General features: G+C 43.7%; 2 protein-coding genes across 3 annotated transcripts in view, besides 12 other annotated features; both read right to left on the reverse strand.

Annotated features, from left to right (window-relative positions):
- Positions 1-13812, reverse strand: part of LY75-CD302 (LY75-CD302 readthrough) — a 136129-nt gene extending 122317 nt beyond the window's left edge. For both annotated transcript variants that reach the window (NM_001198760.1, NM_001198759.1), the window contains exons 1-3: positions 13645-13812; positions 7744-8115; positions 2970-3140 (exon numbers count right to left, since the gene is read on the reverse strand). In NM_001198760.1, the coding sequence (NP_001185689.1) occupies positions 2970-3140; positions 7744-8115; positions 13645-13738 (637 nt within the window). In that variant the 5' untranslated portion in view covers positions 13739-13812. The remainder of the gene's footprint in view (positions 1-2969; positions 3141-7743; positions 8116-13644) is intronic.
- The window catches only part of LY75 (lymphocyte antigen 75), a 101402-nt gene extending 87590 nt beyond the window's left edge, over positions 1-13812 (reverse strand). Inside the window, exons 1-3 of the mRNA NM_002349.4 lie at positions 13645-13812; positions 7744-8115; positions 2970-3140 (exon numbers count right to left, since the gene is read on the reverse strand). Coding sequence (NP_002340.2) covers positions 2970-3140; positions 7744-8115; positions 13645-13738 — 637 coding nt within the window. The 5' untranslated portion in view covers positions 13739-13812. The remainder of the gene's footprint in view (positions 1-2969; positions 3141-7743; positions 8116-13644) is intronic.
- Positions 104-153: an enhancer, noted in NCBI's record as "active region_16688". NCBI's record gives its function as "activates an Ori minimal core promoter by ATAC-STARR-seq in GM12878 lymphoblastoid cells {active_cell/tissue: GM12878}" and the evidence as "EXISTENCE:reporter gene assay evidence [ECO:0000049][PMID:35858748]".
- Positions 184-453: an enhancer, noted in NCBI's record as "active region_16689". NCBI's record gives its function as "activates an Ori minimal core promoter by ATAC-STARR-seq in GM12878 lymphoblastoid cells {active_cell/tissue: GM12878}" and the evidence as "EXISTENCE:reporter gene assay evidence [ECO:0000049][PMID:35858748]".
- Positions 3309-3388: a silencer, noted in NCBI's record as "silent region_12045". NCBI's record gives its function as "represses an Ori minimal core promoter by ATAC-STARR-seq in GM12878 lymphoblastoid cells {active_cell/tissue: GM12878}" and the evidence as "EXISTENCE:reporter gene assay evidence [ECO:0000049][PMID:35858748]".
- Positions 4795-4974: an enhancer, noted in NCBI's record as "active region_16690". NCBI's record gives its function as "activates an Ori minimal core promoter by ATAC-STARR-seq in GM12878 lymphoblastoid cells {active_cell/tissue: GM12878}" and the evidence as "EXISTENCE:reporter gene assay evidence [ECO:0000049][PMID:35858748]".
- Positions 5615-5854: an enhancer, noted in NCBI's record as "active region_16691". NCBI's record gives its function as "activates an Ori minimal core promoter by ATAC-STARR-seq in GM12878 lymphoblastoid cells {active_cell/tissue: GM12878}" and the evidence as "EXISTENCE:reporter gene assay evidence [ECO:0000049][PMID:35858748]".
- Positions 12724-12773: an enhancer, noted in NCBI's record as "active region_16692". NCBI's record gives its function as "activates an Ori minimal core promoter by ATAC-STARR-seq in GM12878 lymphoblastoid cells {active_cell/tissue: GM12878}" and the evidence as "EXISTENCE:reporter gene assay evidence [ECO:0000049][PMID:35858748]".
- Positions 12824-12873: an enhancer, noted in NCBI's record as "active region_16693". NCBI's record gives its function as "activates an Ori minimal core promoter by ATAC-STARR-seq in GM12878 lymphoblastoid cells {active_cell/tissue: GM12878}" and the evidence as "EXISTENCE:reporter gene assay evidence [ECO:0000049][PMID:35858748]".
- Positions 13094-13143: an enhancer, noted in NCBI's record as "active region_16694". NCBI's record gives its function as "activates an Ori minimal core promoter by ATAC-STARR-seq in GM12878 lymphoblastoid cells {active_cell/tissue: GM12878}" and the evidence as "EXISTENCE:reporter gene assay evidence [ECO:0000049][PMID:35858748]".
- Positions 13284-13363: an enhancer, noted in NCBI's record as "active region_16695". NCBI's record gives its function as "activates an Ori minimal core promoter by ATAC-STARR-seq in GM12878 lymphoblastoid cells {active_cell/tissue: GM12878}" and the evidence as "EXISTENCE:reporter gene assay evidence [ECO:0000049][PMID:35858748]".
- Positions 13544-14003: a silencer, noted in NCBI's record as "silent region_12046". NCBI's record gives its function as "represses an Ori minimal core promoter by ATAC-STARR-seq in GM12878 lymphoblastoid cells {active_cell/tissue: GM12878}" and the evidence as "EXISTENCE:reporter gene assay evidence [ECO:0000049][PMID:35858748]".
- Positions 13544-14014: a biological region, named in NCBI's record as "ReSE screen-validated silencer GRCh37_chr2:160761228-160761469".
- Positions 13773-14014: a silencer, noted in NCBI's record as "fragment chr2:160761228-160761469 (GRCh37/hg19 assembly coordinates)". NCBI's record gives its function as "represses an EF-1alpha promoter that drives an FKBP-Casp9 reporter gene in an ReSE screen in K562 erythroleukemia cells {active_cell/tissue: K562}" and the evidence as "EXISTENCE:reporter gene assay evidence [ECO:0000049][PMID:32094911]".

A 14922-nucleotide genomic window follows, 5' to 3' on the forward strand; every position in this document is an offset into this window, starting at 1 on the left:
GTATATATGTGCATAGAAACATATATACATATGTGTTTGTAGAGTATGCATAATTTCAGACAAAGAAACTGCAAGCTGTTTCCTGAATGAGAAATAAAAATTTCAAAACAACTGGTTCAAAATATATTCAGAGCCTCCTGTGTACTCCCCACAAGAGGGGAAGTCCAATGCAGGCTGTGTCAAGTGCATCCCAGGCTCCAACTGGGGGACTTTCCAAAAGGCCTCCTATAGCCAGTTACATATCAGATGTTATACTCATGATCCTATAAGCTGGAAGGGCCTTTAGAGATCATCTTGTCTAATGTCCTTATTTAACAGACAGGAACAAAGACCTAGAGGTGACTGTGACAGAGCTATAATGAGGGCACTGGTCTTGTTGATCCTCTGATGGCACATCCTGCTGCTTCAGCCATTTTTCTATAGCATAAATAGCAACAGAGATTCTGACATTTGATAAAAACAAAATAGGGTGGATTTGAAAGCACATTGTCTAAAGGTTCATTATTACCACTGAGGCCCTACACTTGTAAATCCAGAAGCTTCCAGGAGTGGGATGGCAGTGTGTTTGCTATACAACATGACCTCCATGATTTAGCAGCCCTCAGGTTTGAGAAACTTTCTCTTGCTTCTTCCATAAAAAGTAACTCTAGGAAGCATATGCATGCATTAACACCACTGTATGTGTCACACCCCCAAAGCCCCAGCACACACACAACACCCACAGGAGGCTAAAGGCACCAAGATACATTCCTGTCAAGGCAGCAAGGTACAGTGGGGGTAAATATGTACAGTGGGGAAGGAGGATAAAGAATCCTTCACTAGTGTCCACAAAAATGTGGTCTGACCCTGACAGGTCATTTCACTGATCTGGGCCTTCTGCCTCTCACCTGAGAAACAGGGGTTTACATTGGATTACCTCTAAGCAAACTTTCACATCTAAATTTCTGATCCAAATGATAAGGAGAGTTAAATGAAGTTGATACCTGGCTGACCAAACTCTGCTTATTATCAATTATAGCTGAAGAAAATACTGGCTTTTTCTATTTTAGTAGGTAGGTTACAGGTGTTGAGAAGCCTGGGCCTCTAATTAGATATGTAATCCTCCAAGTGTGGTTCCCAGACCAGCATTATCAGCACTACCTGGAAACTTGCCAAATTTGGGGGGCCCACCAAAAATCTACTGAATCAGAATCTCTGGGCCCTAGATATCTGTGTTCTAACAAACTCTCCATGTGATTCTGTTGCACCCTGAAATCTTAAGTCTTAACCCAGTATAATCTCTCCAAGCTCTCCAAGAGCTTCTGCATTCTGAAGCTCACATTCCCGAAGGAGGGATCAGCATTACTAATACCACCTGGCTAGCTACTCAATGAGTCAGCCTAGTGTAGCTGTTTGGGACAAGGACTTCATAGCCAGACTTCCTGGGTTTGAATTCTAGTTCTGATATTTATTAGCTGTGTGATCTTAGGCAAGTTACATATCTCCCTTGTGCCTCACTGTGATCATCTGTAAAATGGGGATAAAGTATGGTACCTTTCAGGGTTGCTGTGAGGACTGAATGAGTTAATGTATATTGAGAGCCTGAAACAGTATCTGACACCTGGCAGAGCCCTGTTAAGTATTAACTATTATTACTTAGGTCTGGAGCTCTTTCCTTTCTCTTTGCTATAGATTCTTTCAACCTATTGTCCATTAAGTAATATTTTGTGAGTACCTATCACATGTCAGGTACCGTGATCCCCTGTAACTCTCACCTAATTGGTGAGAAACTGTGTCTCAGTTATGTGCCAGATAATGATGTGATTGCTACTTTGGTCTCTCTCTGTCTTTCTAAAGAACAGCAAATTCTTTAGCAAATCCTGAACAGTTTGCTTCTGGTAAAAAGTAACGAGAAAAAGCACTCTGACAAACACACAGGAATGGTGGAAGGAACAGTGTCACCAATTTTGAGCCAGGAAGATCTATCTCTTCTCTTTCCCGCTCTTTGCTTCAGGCCATAAACATACTTAAGATTTCACCATTCTAAAAGTGTTTTTCAACTGATCTCTTTCTTAAACTACCCTTTGCTTTTTTAAATAAAAAAAAGCCACTGTTTTGGACTAAGCTCCTGATCTAGGACTCAAAAATCAAAATGGAGTCACCCATGCCAAAGTTCCACATCACCAAACTGAAACAGATTGTCATCTGGTCTTTTGAGAAATCAGGAGAGAGAGACAACTGCCTAATTTCCCCAACAGGCCAGTTTCAATCTTTAATTGGACTGATAATGAAGTTCCCTCTGTTTCAATGCTTAACCTGAAGTCACCTGATGTTGACCAATCAATTATTTCTCTATTGCTCTTACAAGGAAAGTTACGTTGAAATGACCAATCCACTCTTCGGTTTCTGTTTTTGCTTTCTTCAGCCCTTTTTCTGTCTACAAAGCCAATCCCCTCTGTTCAACGAACTGGAACACTTACAGTAGTCTATTTTATGAAATGAGGTGTTGCCTGATTCTAGAATTGCAATAAAGCCAAATAAGATTGTAACTACATAAATTTGTTGCAATTTTGTCCTTTGCCAACTGTCTCTTCTTCTGCTCCGTGAAACTTACGAGGCTTACTTCCTTCTGTTCATGCTTCATTCCACTACAATCCAGCTTCTACCCCCTCTAGTCTTCTGAAACTACTAAAGGTCAGCAGCAATTTCCTAATTGTGCATGCCTTTTCCACACTTCCTCTCCCTGGGGTGCTATGGAACACTCCCTCCTCCTCCTCCATGACACCATCCGCCTTGGTTCACTTCCGGGCCTGCTTCTGAAGGCAAATTCATGGCTACACATTACCTCTCTCTTCTCCTCCAAACATACACTTCTTATCCGGGATAATATTTTTGCAGTCACTTTTGAGTCACTTTGAACTCTTCCTTCTCCCTATTGCCTCATATAAATGTACTACCTTTCCACATAAAATTTACCAGCCCATACATACCAGGCTTTAAGCAGATGCCCCACTTTCGGTCATATTCATAATTTAAGGTGGTGGCACACCATGGCCCACTATGATCTTCATCAAGAATGCAATCATGATGCCAGGTCCCATCAATTAAGAATGGAAATTCACAAGGTCTCCCATAAGAGTTCCCATCTCTGGTATAGATCTCTGGGTTGGAGAGGAAGTTGGGGAAAAGAGAGTTAAAAACTGGGTAGTCAGCGTCAGGTGGCTAATTTCTAAAACTGTTTTTAAAAGAAACGTTGTTTAGAATACAATATCCGAGTGTAGGAATTCAGAGCATGGGTGCTGTCAGGTCTGGATATGAATGCTGGCTCCCTGCTAACCCACTGTTTGCCTGTGGGCTAGCTATCCAACCTCTAGTAGCCTCTGTTTCTGCTTTTGCAAACTGGGGATAGCGTTCAGTGATCAACCATGTGAAGCTTCACTTACTGTGGTGTGATGAGGCGCTGAAAGAGCCTGGCTTGATCAGGTGAGGGTCTACTAACTCTGCTGTGGGCCGCAGAGCACTTCACCAGAAAGGGTGCCCTGGCTGAGGTTACATTTACCTCTATTTTCTTTTCTTTAGAAAGTGTTGGAGCCAGAAAAATTCCTTGGAACCACTGAGGGTGGGTGTGGACTTTGGAACCACCTGCGGCATTAGAAAGATGGACAAATAGTCCCATTGTTCAGAGACTGGAGGTAGAATTGAGACTGTGGTTTTTGAGGAAGTAAAAGGAAGAGCTGCTGAATTTCTGAGCAGATTCTTGGGAAGGTACAAGGCATGGTAATTTGGGGTGTGAAAGAAGCAGCAGCTTCAATGGGGCAGTCATGTGACCGGCGGGGGGCCAGTGAGGTAGTAGACATAGCTTTTACTTCAATCATTTTCCCTGGTACATGGGGAGGAACTGAAAAGTGATTCCAACCTCAAATATGCCTGGAAATGCTGGAAAGAATGTTTGATACTTATATCAATACTAATTCTCTTGGAAAGGTGTTTTTATAGAACAGCTATCCCTGTATCCCTGTCACAATTTGCCAAAACCTCGGTCCACAATTTGCTAAAAACCTCAGTCATTAACAGATCAAATAATGGCCATTAGGTAAATCATAGTAATCAGATCTTATCACCGTTTACCAGGCAATTAGGGTTCCTCCAAATGTCTCACAGATTTGCTTAAAAGTGTGCTTAAGACAGTATTTGATTCTACTTTCTTTTCCTCCAGTGTCCGTCTAACTAAAGTGTGAGGCCATTTAACAGCTTAGAATGTAATAAGCAGACCTATAGCAAAAGGTAATAATAATCTGGATGCTTTTCTTGGCAAATAGTCTTTTAAAGATCACTGGTTTTGTTTTGCTGTGTCATAGAAACAGTTTTCAAAAGCGTACTTCTGTTAAAGAGTGTGTTGACCTTATATTTTATAAGGATTCTGCTTATTACCTATGTTTCAGTTTAACCGCATCAAAACCCCCCAATAGCTCATGACCAGTTTCTTTTCCCATATTACAAACCTAAGAGGACAGTCCCTGAACACAAAGACTGTTCCTTGTAGAGCCATCAGTTTTCTTTTCTAAAACCTTTGATTTTTGGAATACAAAGTGCCTTGGTATACATTTCTGTCATTTGTTCTTTATCATAAACCTGTGAGATCATAGGGGAGGTATTATACTTGTCTGGGAAATCCCCATTTTTGCAGAGTAGTCAAGTGATACATTCAGGCACTCAGCTGCAAGTGACAGGAATGAGAATGGGCTCTCTCTGATTAGACTCTTGACCTATAAGGACAACTTGTGACATCAGCGGGTGCCTTCTCAAGTTTCAAGTTAAATTTCATAGCTCAAAGCTGGGCTTCAATTAATAAGCTCTCTAAGTCACAATATATGCTTTGAAGAATGATAAGCATACAACCACCACACCAGAAGCAGCTAAATTACGCTAACTATTCACTAAGCATTTTGTTCCCACACATTCTTTGCTGATGCTGGCCTCTTACACACCATGGGCTTCCTTAGCAAGACAGACTTTCCTGGGAAGAATCTTCTCTGAATGTGCAAATTTATGATGATAGCATCCTTAAAACAACAGCTTTATTATGCAATAGTTACAAATTTGTGAGATGAGGTGATTATGCAGAAAACTAGCAAATTAATGTCATCAGTAACATGAGACAAAATAGTTTCAATGGATAAAGAGGTTGTTGGCAGGCTTCTAAGAGTTGCCCAGAATTCTGATAGTTCTGCAGCCACCCTGCCACAAAAAGTCCATTTCCTCTGCGTGATTCACCAAACATTCAAAATTTGAAAAGTGCTAGTGAGATCAAGGTATCTTAATGATATTAATGTACACCTGGGTGCTAGTCAAAAGCAGTTCACTCATAAAATTTATACAACTTCAGTTTTCTCTGAGATGAACACGACTCACACAGGATAGGAGTTGGGGTGAGAGGCAACCCAAGGCACAGTGATAAATTAATGTTCTTGTATCACAAGTGAAAACTTGGTTTATACTGCTAAAGCCAAGGGGGAAAGAAAGAAGCTATGTTTGGGGAATGGAATACTGGTTTTAAGCCCTAGCTTTGCTGTAACAAACCAGGTAACCTTGGATTTCACTTTGTTGGGACTTGGGTATCTTGTATGTTTTGTTTATATACTGCTAGATAAGAAGGTGGGGACAACAATCAGTATCGAGAGTCTGAGAGCGGAGTCCTAGAGAAAGTCCCTAACTTAAGACAGCAGTCCCTAACCTAAGAACAAGAAGGGATATACATAAATTGAAAAGGGTAGAATTGCCAGGACTTCATATTTGATTATATTGGAGTGGTGGAAGAGGCGAGCCTGAAACCTCTCAGGTGACTTGCTGATTTCTGACATGTAGAACTTAGATGGTACCAGTCACCCAGACAGAAACAGAGAAGAGGTGGCAAGTTTGGCCCTGGTTTCTGTGCAAATTAAAACTTGAGGTATGCCTTGACTAGTCACAACTATATATGCTTTAAAAAAAGCTTTAGTGTTTCAAATATTATATTTGAAAAGGTCAAGAAACACTTCATGCCTTTGGGTTATGCTGGTGGCATTGCTTAGCTCTCTCTGGGTGGTCCCCTGGGTAGATCCTTAACCTTTTTTGTGCTACTGATCTCTTTGGCAGCTGGGTGAAATCCACAGTCCCTGTCTCAGAAGAACATTAGAAATGCATACATAAAATACATAGGATAAAAAGGAAAACCAGTTATATTGAAATGAAGACACTGGGGACTGAGGGAGTTTAAGATTACAACTATGCCCCTCAAAAGAATTAGATCAGGAGACTAAAAGAACCCTGCCAAGAAAATTATCCTTTCTGATCCCTGGACAAATACAATGAAACAAGTTAAATCCAATTAAAAGGCATTTTGTTTGGCTCTGTGTTTCCTCTTAGTTGGCAAGTTGGAGAAGGGCTTTTGTGGCACAGAATTTAAATTTGCCATTAAGTCATATCCAAAAAGCAACTGCTTTACTTTTAGGAGGAAACTGGCTCGCAGAAACAGACTGTCAACTATTCAAAGGCCAGGGAATGATGAAAAGGAAACCCTATCTCTAATTCTCTAATATTTCTCCACAACAGAACTTGACATTCTCAGAATAATTCTTGCATCCTCACTAGGAAATAGAAAGCTAGAAAGAAAAACTTGTGCAGATGGATAATGGAAAGTATGGGAGCAAGCTGCTATAGTGACTTTGAGGCCAAATTTAGCTTAAATGATCTTTAAGAGAAGAAGAAAGCCACTGTAAAGCTAGGGAAATTTGTAAAGAAAGGCAAGGGGAAATAATAGGACTTAGAGGACATAATTATATGCATATCGACATTTGGTGTAATTTAGAGCAACATAATGAAAAATATTTGCTTGGGAGATAGCTAATTACATTTAATGGTTAAAAAAATAAATCTACTCATTCTTTAACTTAGAAATTAGTTGCAATCCAGTCCCTAGACTCAGGGCTAAGTCCATGGTCCGCTCCCCGCAAGGCAATATTAATATACTTATTTTCGGAAGCAACTGAAAAACTCCACTCTTAAAATGCTGAATCATAAATATAAACATCAAAATTTGGTTGCCATGCAAAAATGAAAATAAATAAGAAAATCCACTCAAAATTTTCCCATTTTATTCAAAATCCGTAGGCAAGAAAAAATATATTTTTCCTCCTTCTCCTTCTTTTCTTTTTTAAGGATGGGTGTCTCACTATGTTGCCCAGGCTGAAGTGCAGTGGCTATTCACAGGCGTGATCATTACACACTACAGCCTTGAACTCCTGTGTGCTCAAGTGATCCTGCTGCCTCAGTCTCTCGAGAAGCTGGGACCGCAACCATGCACCACTACGCCTGACCTTTCTTCTTCTTTTAAAACTTAGAATAAGATCAACATTATTAGATCATTTGACTTTTAGCCTGTACAAATCTAATGATTCCTTTCCTCTAGGGTTTCCTTTCCTCTAGGGTTTAGAAGACCATCATAAGAAGTACATATCTATCTGATGAAATCCCAGGTTTATCACAACATGGCTGTGTGACCTCAGACAAGGCACTTTATCTCTCTTAGCCTTACCTGCAAAGTAGAGGCAAATACCATGGACTTGTAAGAATGTCGCTCAAAGTAACTGCACAGTGCCTGGAAGTGAAGAGCTTACTCACTGCCCTTACTAATGTACGACTCTATTTTTACTAAATTGTGCATGTTTAATGCCACATGTGACAAGCACAACAGCAAATCGGTCAAAGTCCCTCTCTAATACTCACCATGATAAGGCTGGTCACAAAGGCTTTCCTCTGAGCCTCCTTTCTTCCAGACATCAGATGCATTTGAGATTGCTGTGCCATGTCCATCCTTCAGAGCCAGCCGGTACCGGGCAGCTCCGTACAGAGAGTGGTGCTCACATTTCCACCACAGCATGGCACTGGAGTCACAGCTGAACATTCTCAGCTCATTTACCGATTTGGTAATATCGAGGCCAAGGCACTTTTGGGAGTGCAAATGAAAGAGCCGATGCTGGGACACCCACTTCCATAACTTGTCCTCAGTTTCATCACAGTCGTCTGCTACTATCCAGCCATACACTGGCTTGATGCACTTGCCCGTATTTCCATGGACGATGGTGAAGGGGTCATTAGCTGAGTCAAATGGACAGACAGATTGTAGATTATGTGGTTGAAGCGCCTTGCTCCCTGCCTGCTGAGGAGAGTCTGAGCACTACTGGACTGTTCCCATCCTCAGTCTGTTCCCACTCTTTTTAAGCTGCAGGGGACTACAAAAGGTGGGACAGTGGTGAGCAGAGAGGCAGTGCAGTGTGTAGGGTCAGAACACGGGCTCTGGAGCCAGTCCGCCTGGGTCCATATTTTGCTCCTGCTACTTGTTAGCCATAGGATCAGGGCAAATCATTTAACCTCTGTGCTCCAGTTTTCATATGATGGTTGTGAGCATGAAAGGAGCTAATCCATGTAAAGCGTGTAGAGTAGCATGTATATTTGTTGTTGCTATTTCATGAAAGATTTTTCCCTTCTCATTTAATAAGACAAAAGAAGCTCTTTAGTTTTCATCTCAATGAAAAGTCTAGTTGGGACCATAATTCTGCCTTGCTTACATGTTAGCTACTACGGCAGGGTAAATTATTACATGAAAAGTCGATGCTTAACACAGCATGTGCACTATATATATGTTCCTTTCTTCAGATCCAAGTACATAGTGAGGCCTCTGTGCTCCTCTGCCTTAGGGCAAGTTAGTGGGGCCACTAAAAAGGAAAACTTAAGGACAATTTTCTTAAAGACCACTTCCCCCTAGATATTTTTTGGAGACCTAAATTCATTGAGGTATCTCAGAGGAAATGGGGAAATTTCTGAGGGAGCAGCAGAACAGTGGGGTACAGAAACAAGAAGAAACAGAGGTCTGGGTTCTGAGGGTAGAACCTGTGGCCAGCTCCACTGTGGCAGTTTCATTGTCCTCAGTTTCATCACAGTCGTCTGCAACTATCCAGCCATACACTGGCTTGTGGCACCCTCAGGAAGGCGACAGGGCCTGGGGAAAGCCTGGGGGGATTGACAGTGTGGATCACCTAAGAAGGCTGAACCCCAAACTCCAGGAACTACCAAAGTGATGGCTGATGAGTCTTGAGCCACCAGATACAAGATCCTGTGGGTTTGGACAATGGAAAACCCAGAGGTAACCAGCGGGATCCAATGACTAAAGAAGAATCCTCCCTGAATGTTCCCCTGGCACTTTGCATGAGCTGGCAAAGACCCCAGTAAGGACAATTATTGAAGTTCTGGCAACCTGGTGGAATGGGAGCTCAGCATCAAATTTAATTTGGATTTCTGAAAATAAAGTAATGCATTGTTTCTTGCACACCTGAGTTTGTGGAATAAGATTCACATCTGTTACAACAAACTATAATCAGATAATTTGGTTAGTTATTTTACAAAGGAAAATTTTAAACAATTACAGCACAAATCATGTTGATAAGAGTAAAGCTGAAATATTTTAGACAAGCTTAAGCAATCACTGTCAGTGAACCAGAGTTCAGCAGAAAGACCTGTAAAATTTTGGTTCCCAAAAGGCACTTTCATTTTGATACCAGCTTCACAGTCACTGGTTTCACTAACACCAGATGCTTTTCCTAGTAATAATTCAAAGGCTTTCAGAGTTAAAAATTCCCATACCAGGGACTGGTGACTTGAGGGGAATTTTACCATGTAAATAATAACTATAAAATTAAGTCTCACTGCAGCTTGAACTTTGGAAGGATTTTTTTGTTTTGTTTTAAATAACAGAAGCAACGACAAGAGAAACAACAACAGCAACAACAATCCTTTAAAGCTTAAAGTTATTTTAAATCTGAATTTTAAAAGTATTCCACAGGATTGCAGCTAAGGATGTTTGCCATAGCAGCTTTCATCCTTCACACTTTTTTTTTTGAGATGGAGTCTTGCTCTGTTGCCCAGGCTGGAGTGCAGTGGCACAATCTCAGCTAACTGCAACCTCCGCCTCCCAGGTTCAAGTGATTCTCATGCCCCAGCCTCCCAAGTAGCTGAGATTACAGGTGCCTGCCACCACACCCGGGTAATTTTTGTATTTTTAGTAGAGATGGGGTTTCACCATGTTGGCCAAGCTGGTCTCGAACTCCTGACCTCAGGTGATCCACCCACTTCGGCCTCCCAAAATGCTGGGATTATAGGCATGAGATACCGTGCCCAGCCACATCCCTCACACTTTCTTCTTTGACATTCCTCTGCCATTTTCTACTTGATGGACACAGGCTGGGAAGACAGTCAACAAAAAAGGAAAATGTGCTATAAGATTACTACTCACACTTTCTCTCATGGCCTTCTCCCACAATTCAATAGCTACTCAGATCTCTGATCTACATCTTTTCCAAAGTATTCTCTCTTGCCTCTCCAAAATAAATCTTGCATTCCAAAGTATCAAAAATTACAGAAGAAAAAAGAAGTCTGCTCCTGCAGGAGACGTGCCCATCACCCTTGTTGGAAACAGCCCCTCTCCTGCCCTGTAGTCTTGCTGCTGTCTTTCCCGGGCATTCTGCTTTGTGTGCTGGATCCCAAACAGGTGAACTGGGGAAGCAGCAGCTTTGCCTTCCTTTGCAGTTTGCAGTTCTGGATTTTTCAAAATTTTTGTAGAATCCAATGGATTAGCTACATTTCTTTATACAGTGGAAAAAGCAGGAGTTAGGAGTCCGAGATTGAAACACTAAAACACTACAGGAGAGGTGTGGAGTAGCTATGTTAAAGTGGAGCTGCCAAACTTCCTAACAAACTGCTACATCTCTGAATATAGATGTTTTTCTCAGACTAATCCCTTGTTTGAACCAAGTATGCAATTTCAATGTGACACTTATAGTGGTCACTTAGTACAGATCTTAATTATTGATATACTTAAAGGAAACTTATTAGCCTCCATATATAAGGTATGTATAAACATACATTAGATAGGGAGAGTCCTATCCTTTCATGATGCTTCCCCGTATCTTTCTTTAACCTTAGCAGGAGCTGTTGAAACTGCCTCAGTCTTACGACCCTTATTGGGATAGTAGGTTGAAGAGCTGGAAGGAGGACTGAGAAAGTGTGAACATAATCCCTTATTTAGAAAATTTGGTACAGAAGGGCATATAAGCTATTTTAGAAATATACTTTGAAAAGGTAATTACAGAGTAGATTTTATTGTATAAAACTTATTTTATAAAATAGATTCTTTATCAATAGCTTTCTACTGGGTTTTGTTCACTTTACAACTTTATACCAGTCCTCAATGGAGTTTTAATATTTACCTCCAAGTACAATATTGGGGCAAATCTAAAAGGCAGAAGTTGATGAAGAGAAGCCTCATTACCCCCTAGATGCATTTTGTATATGCTTCATGTTATATAAATTCTCCAGTGGTGTTTGAGAGAAAATGGCTAAGTAGCATTACCATAAATTGAAAATAAATTTTTAGTATTTTTACATCCATCAAAGGCAAATCATCTCTTTCAGTGTTTTCTTATTGTCTGATCACTAAATAATTCCTGCCTTTGGTCCCTAGACCAAAGAGCTTCACACATTCCAAAGAGAAGCTGGATATTGACATTTATAACCACAGACAAATGGATAGGGAAATAGCTTGGGAAAACAAGAAGGATGAAGATGGCAGCATTTATAATTTCAGGGGAACCGTCCATAGATCACATATTAAGCATTTTGTAGAGTCTCTACCATGTGTTCGGAATGTACAGGTAGGTGCAGCAAGAGAGAATCAGAAGTCTAGGTTTGTTAGTTCAAAAACAGGTCCTGAAGTGACAGTTGAGTCCATGGCAATGTCCAGGGAGTCAGAAAGTCTTCACGCACGATTGGGTGGTGTTGGCTGGTGAAAACCTCAGGAGTCCCTGATGGATTGGTTTACTTCAAGCTGTTAGCTCTCCAAGCAGGCAAAAATGTAAACTAAGCACCTGGCATCTCTCCAAGGACACAGAGGGGCTCCTTCAGTGTTTGGGTAATAGAGGCCACCTGCACAAGCCTAGCCGTGCACATGTGACGAGGTGCATGCCATCACCAGCATCATGAAGCGGACACTCTTGCCAAACAATTGACCCAAATGGCTGGGGGTTCAAAATTCCAGTGCTTCCCCAAACAAGGCCACAAGTCTGCTCTGAGGGTGAGAGAAAATCGATCAGAGTAGCTGCTAGGAGTAAGGAAGGATACAGGATAACAAAACCTGTGGGGACCTAGCACAGGGGGAACAGAGTTAAACCTGGTGCTTTTTGCTTTGGGTCAGTGATAAAGGGCAGTGATTGCAGAGATTGCAAGAATTAGGGAAATCCTGAAATTTGTGAAGGAGATAAAAACAGGACTGAAGCAGATGTCGATGGGAACCAAGAGGTTAGTGATTGAAAAGTTAGTGCATTTTCACTGTAGTTAGTTGCTGCAGTGAACTTTTCCACCTTGGATTGTGGGGCAGGCAGAATAAATTATCAAGGCAATAAAGGATCTTATTTTAAAGGATTCTTTTGGTAGTTCCTAGCACACAGGGTCAAAGGAGAATAGAGAAGTGTGACTCAGAGCAGGGTTCATTTCCAGGTCCTTGCTGTAGATAGGATGATGCCATTCACACTCTGAGAAATCTCTTCCCATCGCTCTCCGAAGGAAGTCTAAACCAGATGGTAACTTAGCTTAGCTGCAAAGAAAATAAGAGCCACCAACAATTTAATGTTTTTCAAACTGCCTGGACAATCTTTTCCTTCCTCATACAGGCACGATAACAGAAGTGGCCGGTGGAGGGTGGCCCATTGAGTGCCCATGATGCAGTCCAACCAAGAAACAAAGTTCTCTGCACACCCCTCGCCCAGGCAAAAAGAGAAAGTAAAAGCAACCGGTTGCTGCCAAGGGGTGTGGTGTGGTGGGGCTGGCACTACCCTGAACATCAATGAAGGCTGTCTGTTTCTGGTCCTGCTTCCGCAGTGAGAGGCAGCAGGTCCCCAAGCAGGCGACCTGCCCTTCACCGTGAGGCTGTCAGCCTTGGGGGAGCGGGGTCATTTGGAGCTGATAAACCAATGAGAAGAAAGGTTTGTTGCTCTAGGCGGTGGGTGAGGGCATCATAGCTGACTCTTGGTCTTGGTCACTTTCGGAGGAGATGGTTTATTTAACCTGACTTCCTTCCTGATGCGCACCGTAGGCGCAGTGAAATCCGGGAATCGTGGGGAATCCTTGGCGCTGTGGGTGGAGGCTCCTCTTGGCCCTGTGGCCAAGGTGACCAAGGGCCGAAGGAAAAGCGAGAACGGGAGGGACGGGACGCAAGAGGGCAGATGGGGAACCCCATACTCCAGCAACATTATATAAGAGAGGCGACGATGGAGCAGCGCACCCGGCCAAAAAAGCCTCCGTGCGCCTACTCTACGGTGCACCGCGTCCCCTCTGCACCAGAAGGGCCCTGTCCTCCCACATCCACCGCGCCCTCCTCCGGGCCCCCGAGGGCACTGGGGCGCTTCCTCTGCCAGACCTCCCCTGCGACTCACTCTTCCGGCTCCAGAGCCCCCCCGCCCCAACAGCAAAGCAGCCGTGACCTGCCCCAGGGGCGCAGCCCTGCCCCAGGCTGGAAGGCAGCAGAGCTGTGGCGTCGAGGCACCCAGCGGACTGCGGGGCTGGCGTGCCCGCGGTTACCTGCGCGGCCAGAGGGCTCCGCGAGATCGAAGAACCAGAAGAGCAGCATGAGGAGCCCCGCCGGGCGGCGAGGGGTCGCCCAGCCTGTCCTCATCCTGAGCTGGCGCAAGCCTTCCGGCCGGGTCCTCGGGCGCACGCGGCTCCCGCCCCGCCTGCTGAGCGCGGCCTGCCCCGCCCGCACCTCTGTCTAGGCCTCTGGGGGCGCCCCGGCCCCGCCCCCGCCGCCCTCGGCCAATCAGACGTGCGTCTCCTCGGCCCCGGGGCGGAGCGGGCCAGGTGTGGGAAATGAACAGGGCTGGGCGCTAGATACCTGCGTGGGGTAGGACCCGCGAGGAAGAGGTACGTGCGGATCGGTGGGAGAGCCAGGCACCAGACAGGCTCCTGCACTGGAGGGTTCGGTCCCCGCCTCTTCATCAGCCAAGCTGGGGAGATGCGGCCCTTACTGGGACTTGGCACCGCCCTGGTGGGTGGGTTCTATCAGTTTAGAACCTTGGCCTCTGCCTGGCGCACTGTGGTCAGGGACGACTTCTCCATTCCAGCCTGGACTGGAAAGGGACCCATGATCTCTTCTACCCCGGAGGAGGAAGTGAGCACCTGCCCTGTGGGTGGCTGCGGCCAAGCCTAAGAATTCAGTCGTCCTTGGCAACGTCTTGGGTATTTTGACAGTGCAAACAAAGGTGGAATAATGGTACACTGCAGTTCTACCCATAGTTGTTAAAGAATTAAAAGCAAGAATTACTAGAATGACCAAACGACACTTCCAAGGATGACTTATGCTTTATAAAAAGTTGACCTTTGCGAGTAAGCTCTTTGCTTAATAATTTAATGATAATAATAATTAGCTGGTAGAAATGTAGAAGTCTGCATGCAGAACCAGAAATTTCATGTCCCACTCACTCTCTTCCTGTGGACACTGCTATCATTATAAAGAGGCCAAATTCTTAATGACCTAAGTTGCTCAAATGTGAATGTTTTATACTTTTAAATCTCGTCTTTGCTGAGCACATAATGTGTACTTGAGGTGGCCTCCATCCTTGTTGCATGAGGATGCAAAGACCTAGGTTGCTCTTCCTGACTCCCACTGCCAAGGTTTCACAGTTGGCTCCCAAACCTGCTCTGTCCTCTCCCCAGGGTCTGGCCTTTCAGTTCCATAGATATAGTGAGCACCTGCCATCACAGGATCTGGGCACGCCATGGAACAGAAGGACAAAAAGACAACATCTCTGCCCTCCCCTGAATACTGGGGAGACTGAGGCACTGTGATGGATAATATTGTCA

This window comes from Homo sapiens, chromosome 2 (assembly GCF_000001405.40).
Source record: "Homo sapiens chromosome 2, GRCh38.p14 Primary Assembly".
Taxonomy (NCBI): Eukaryota; Metazoa; Chordata; class Mammalia; order Primates; family Hominidae; genus Homo; species Homo sapiens.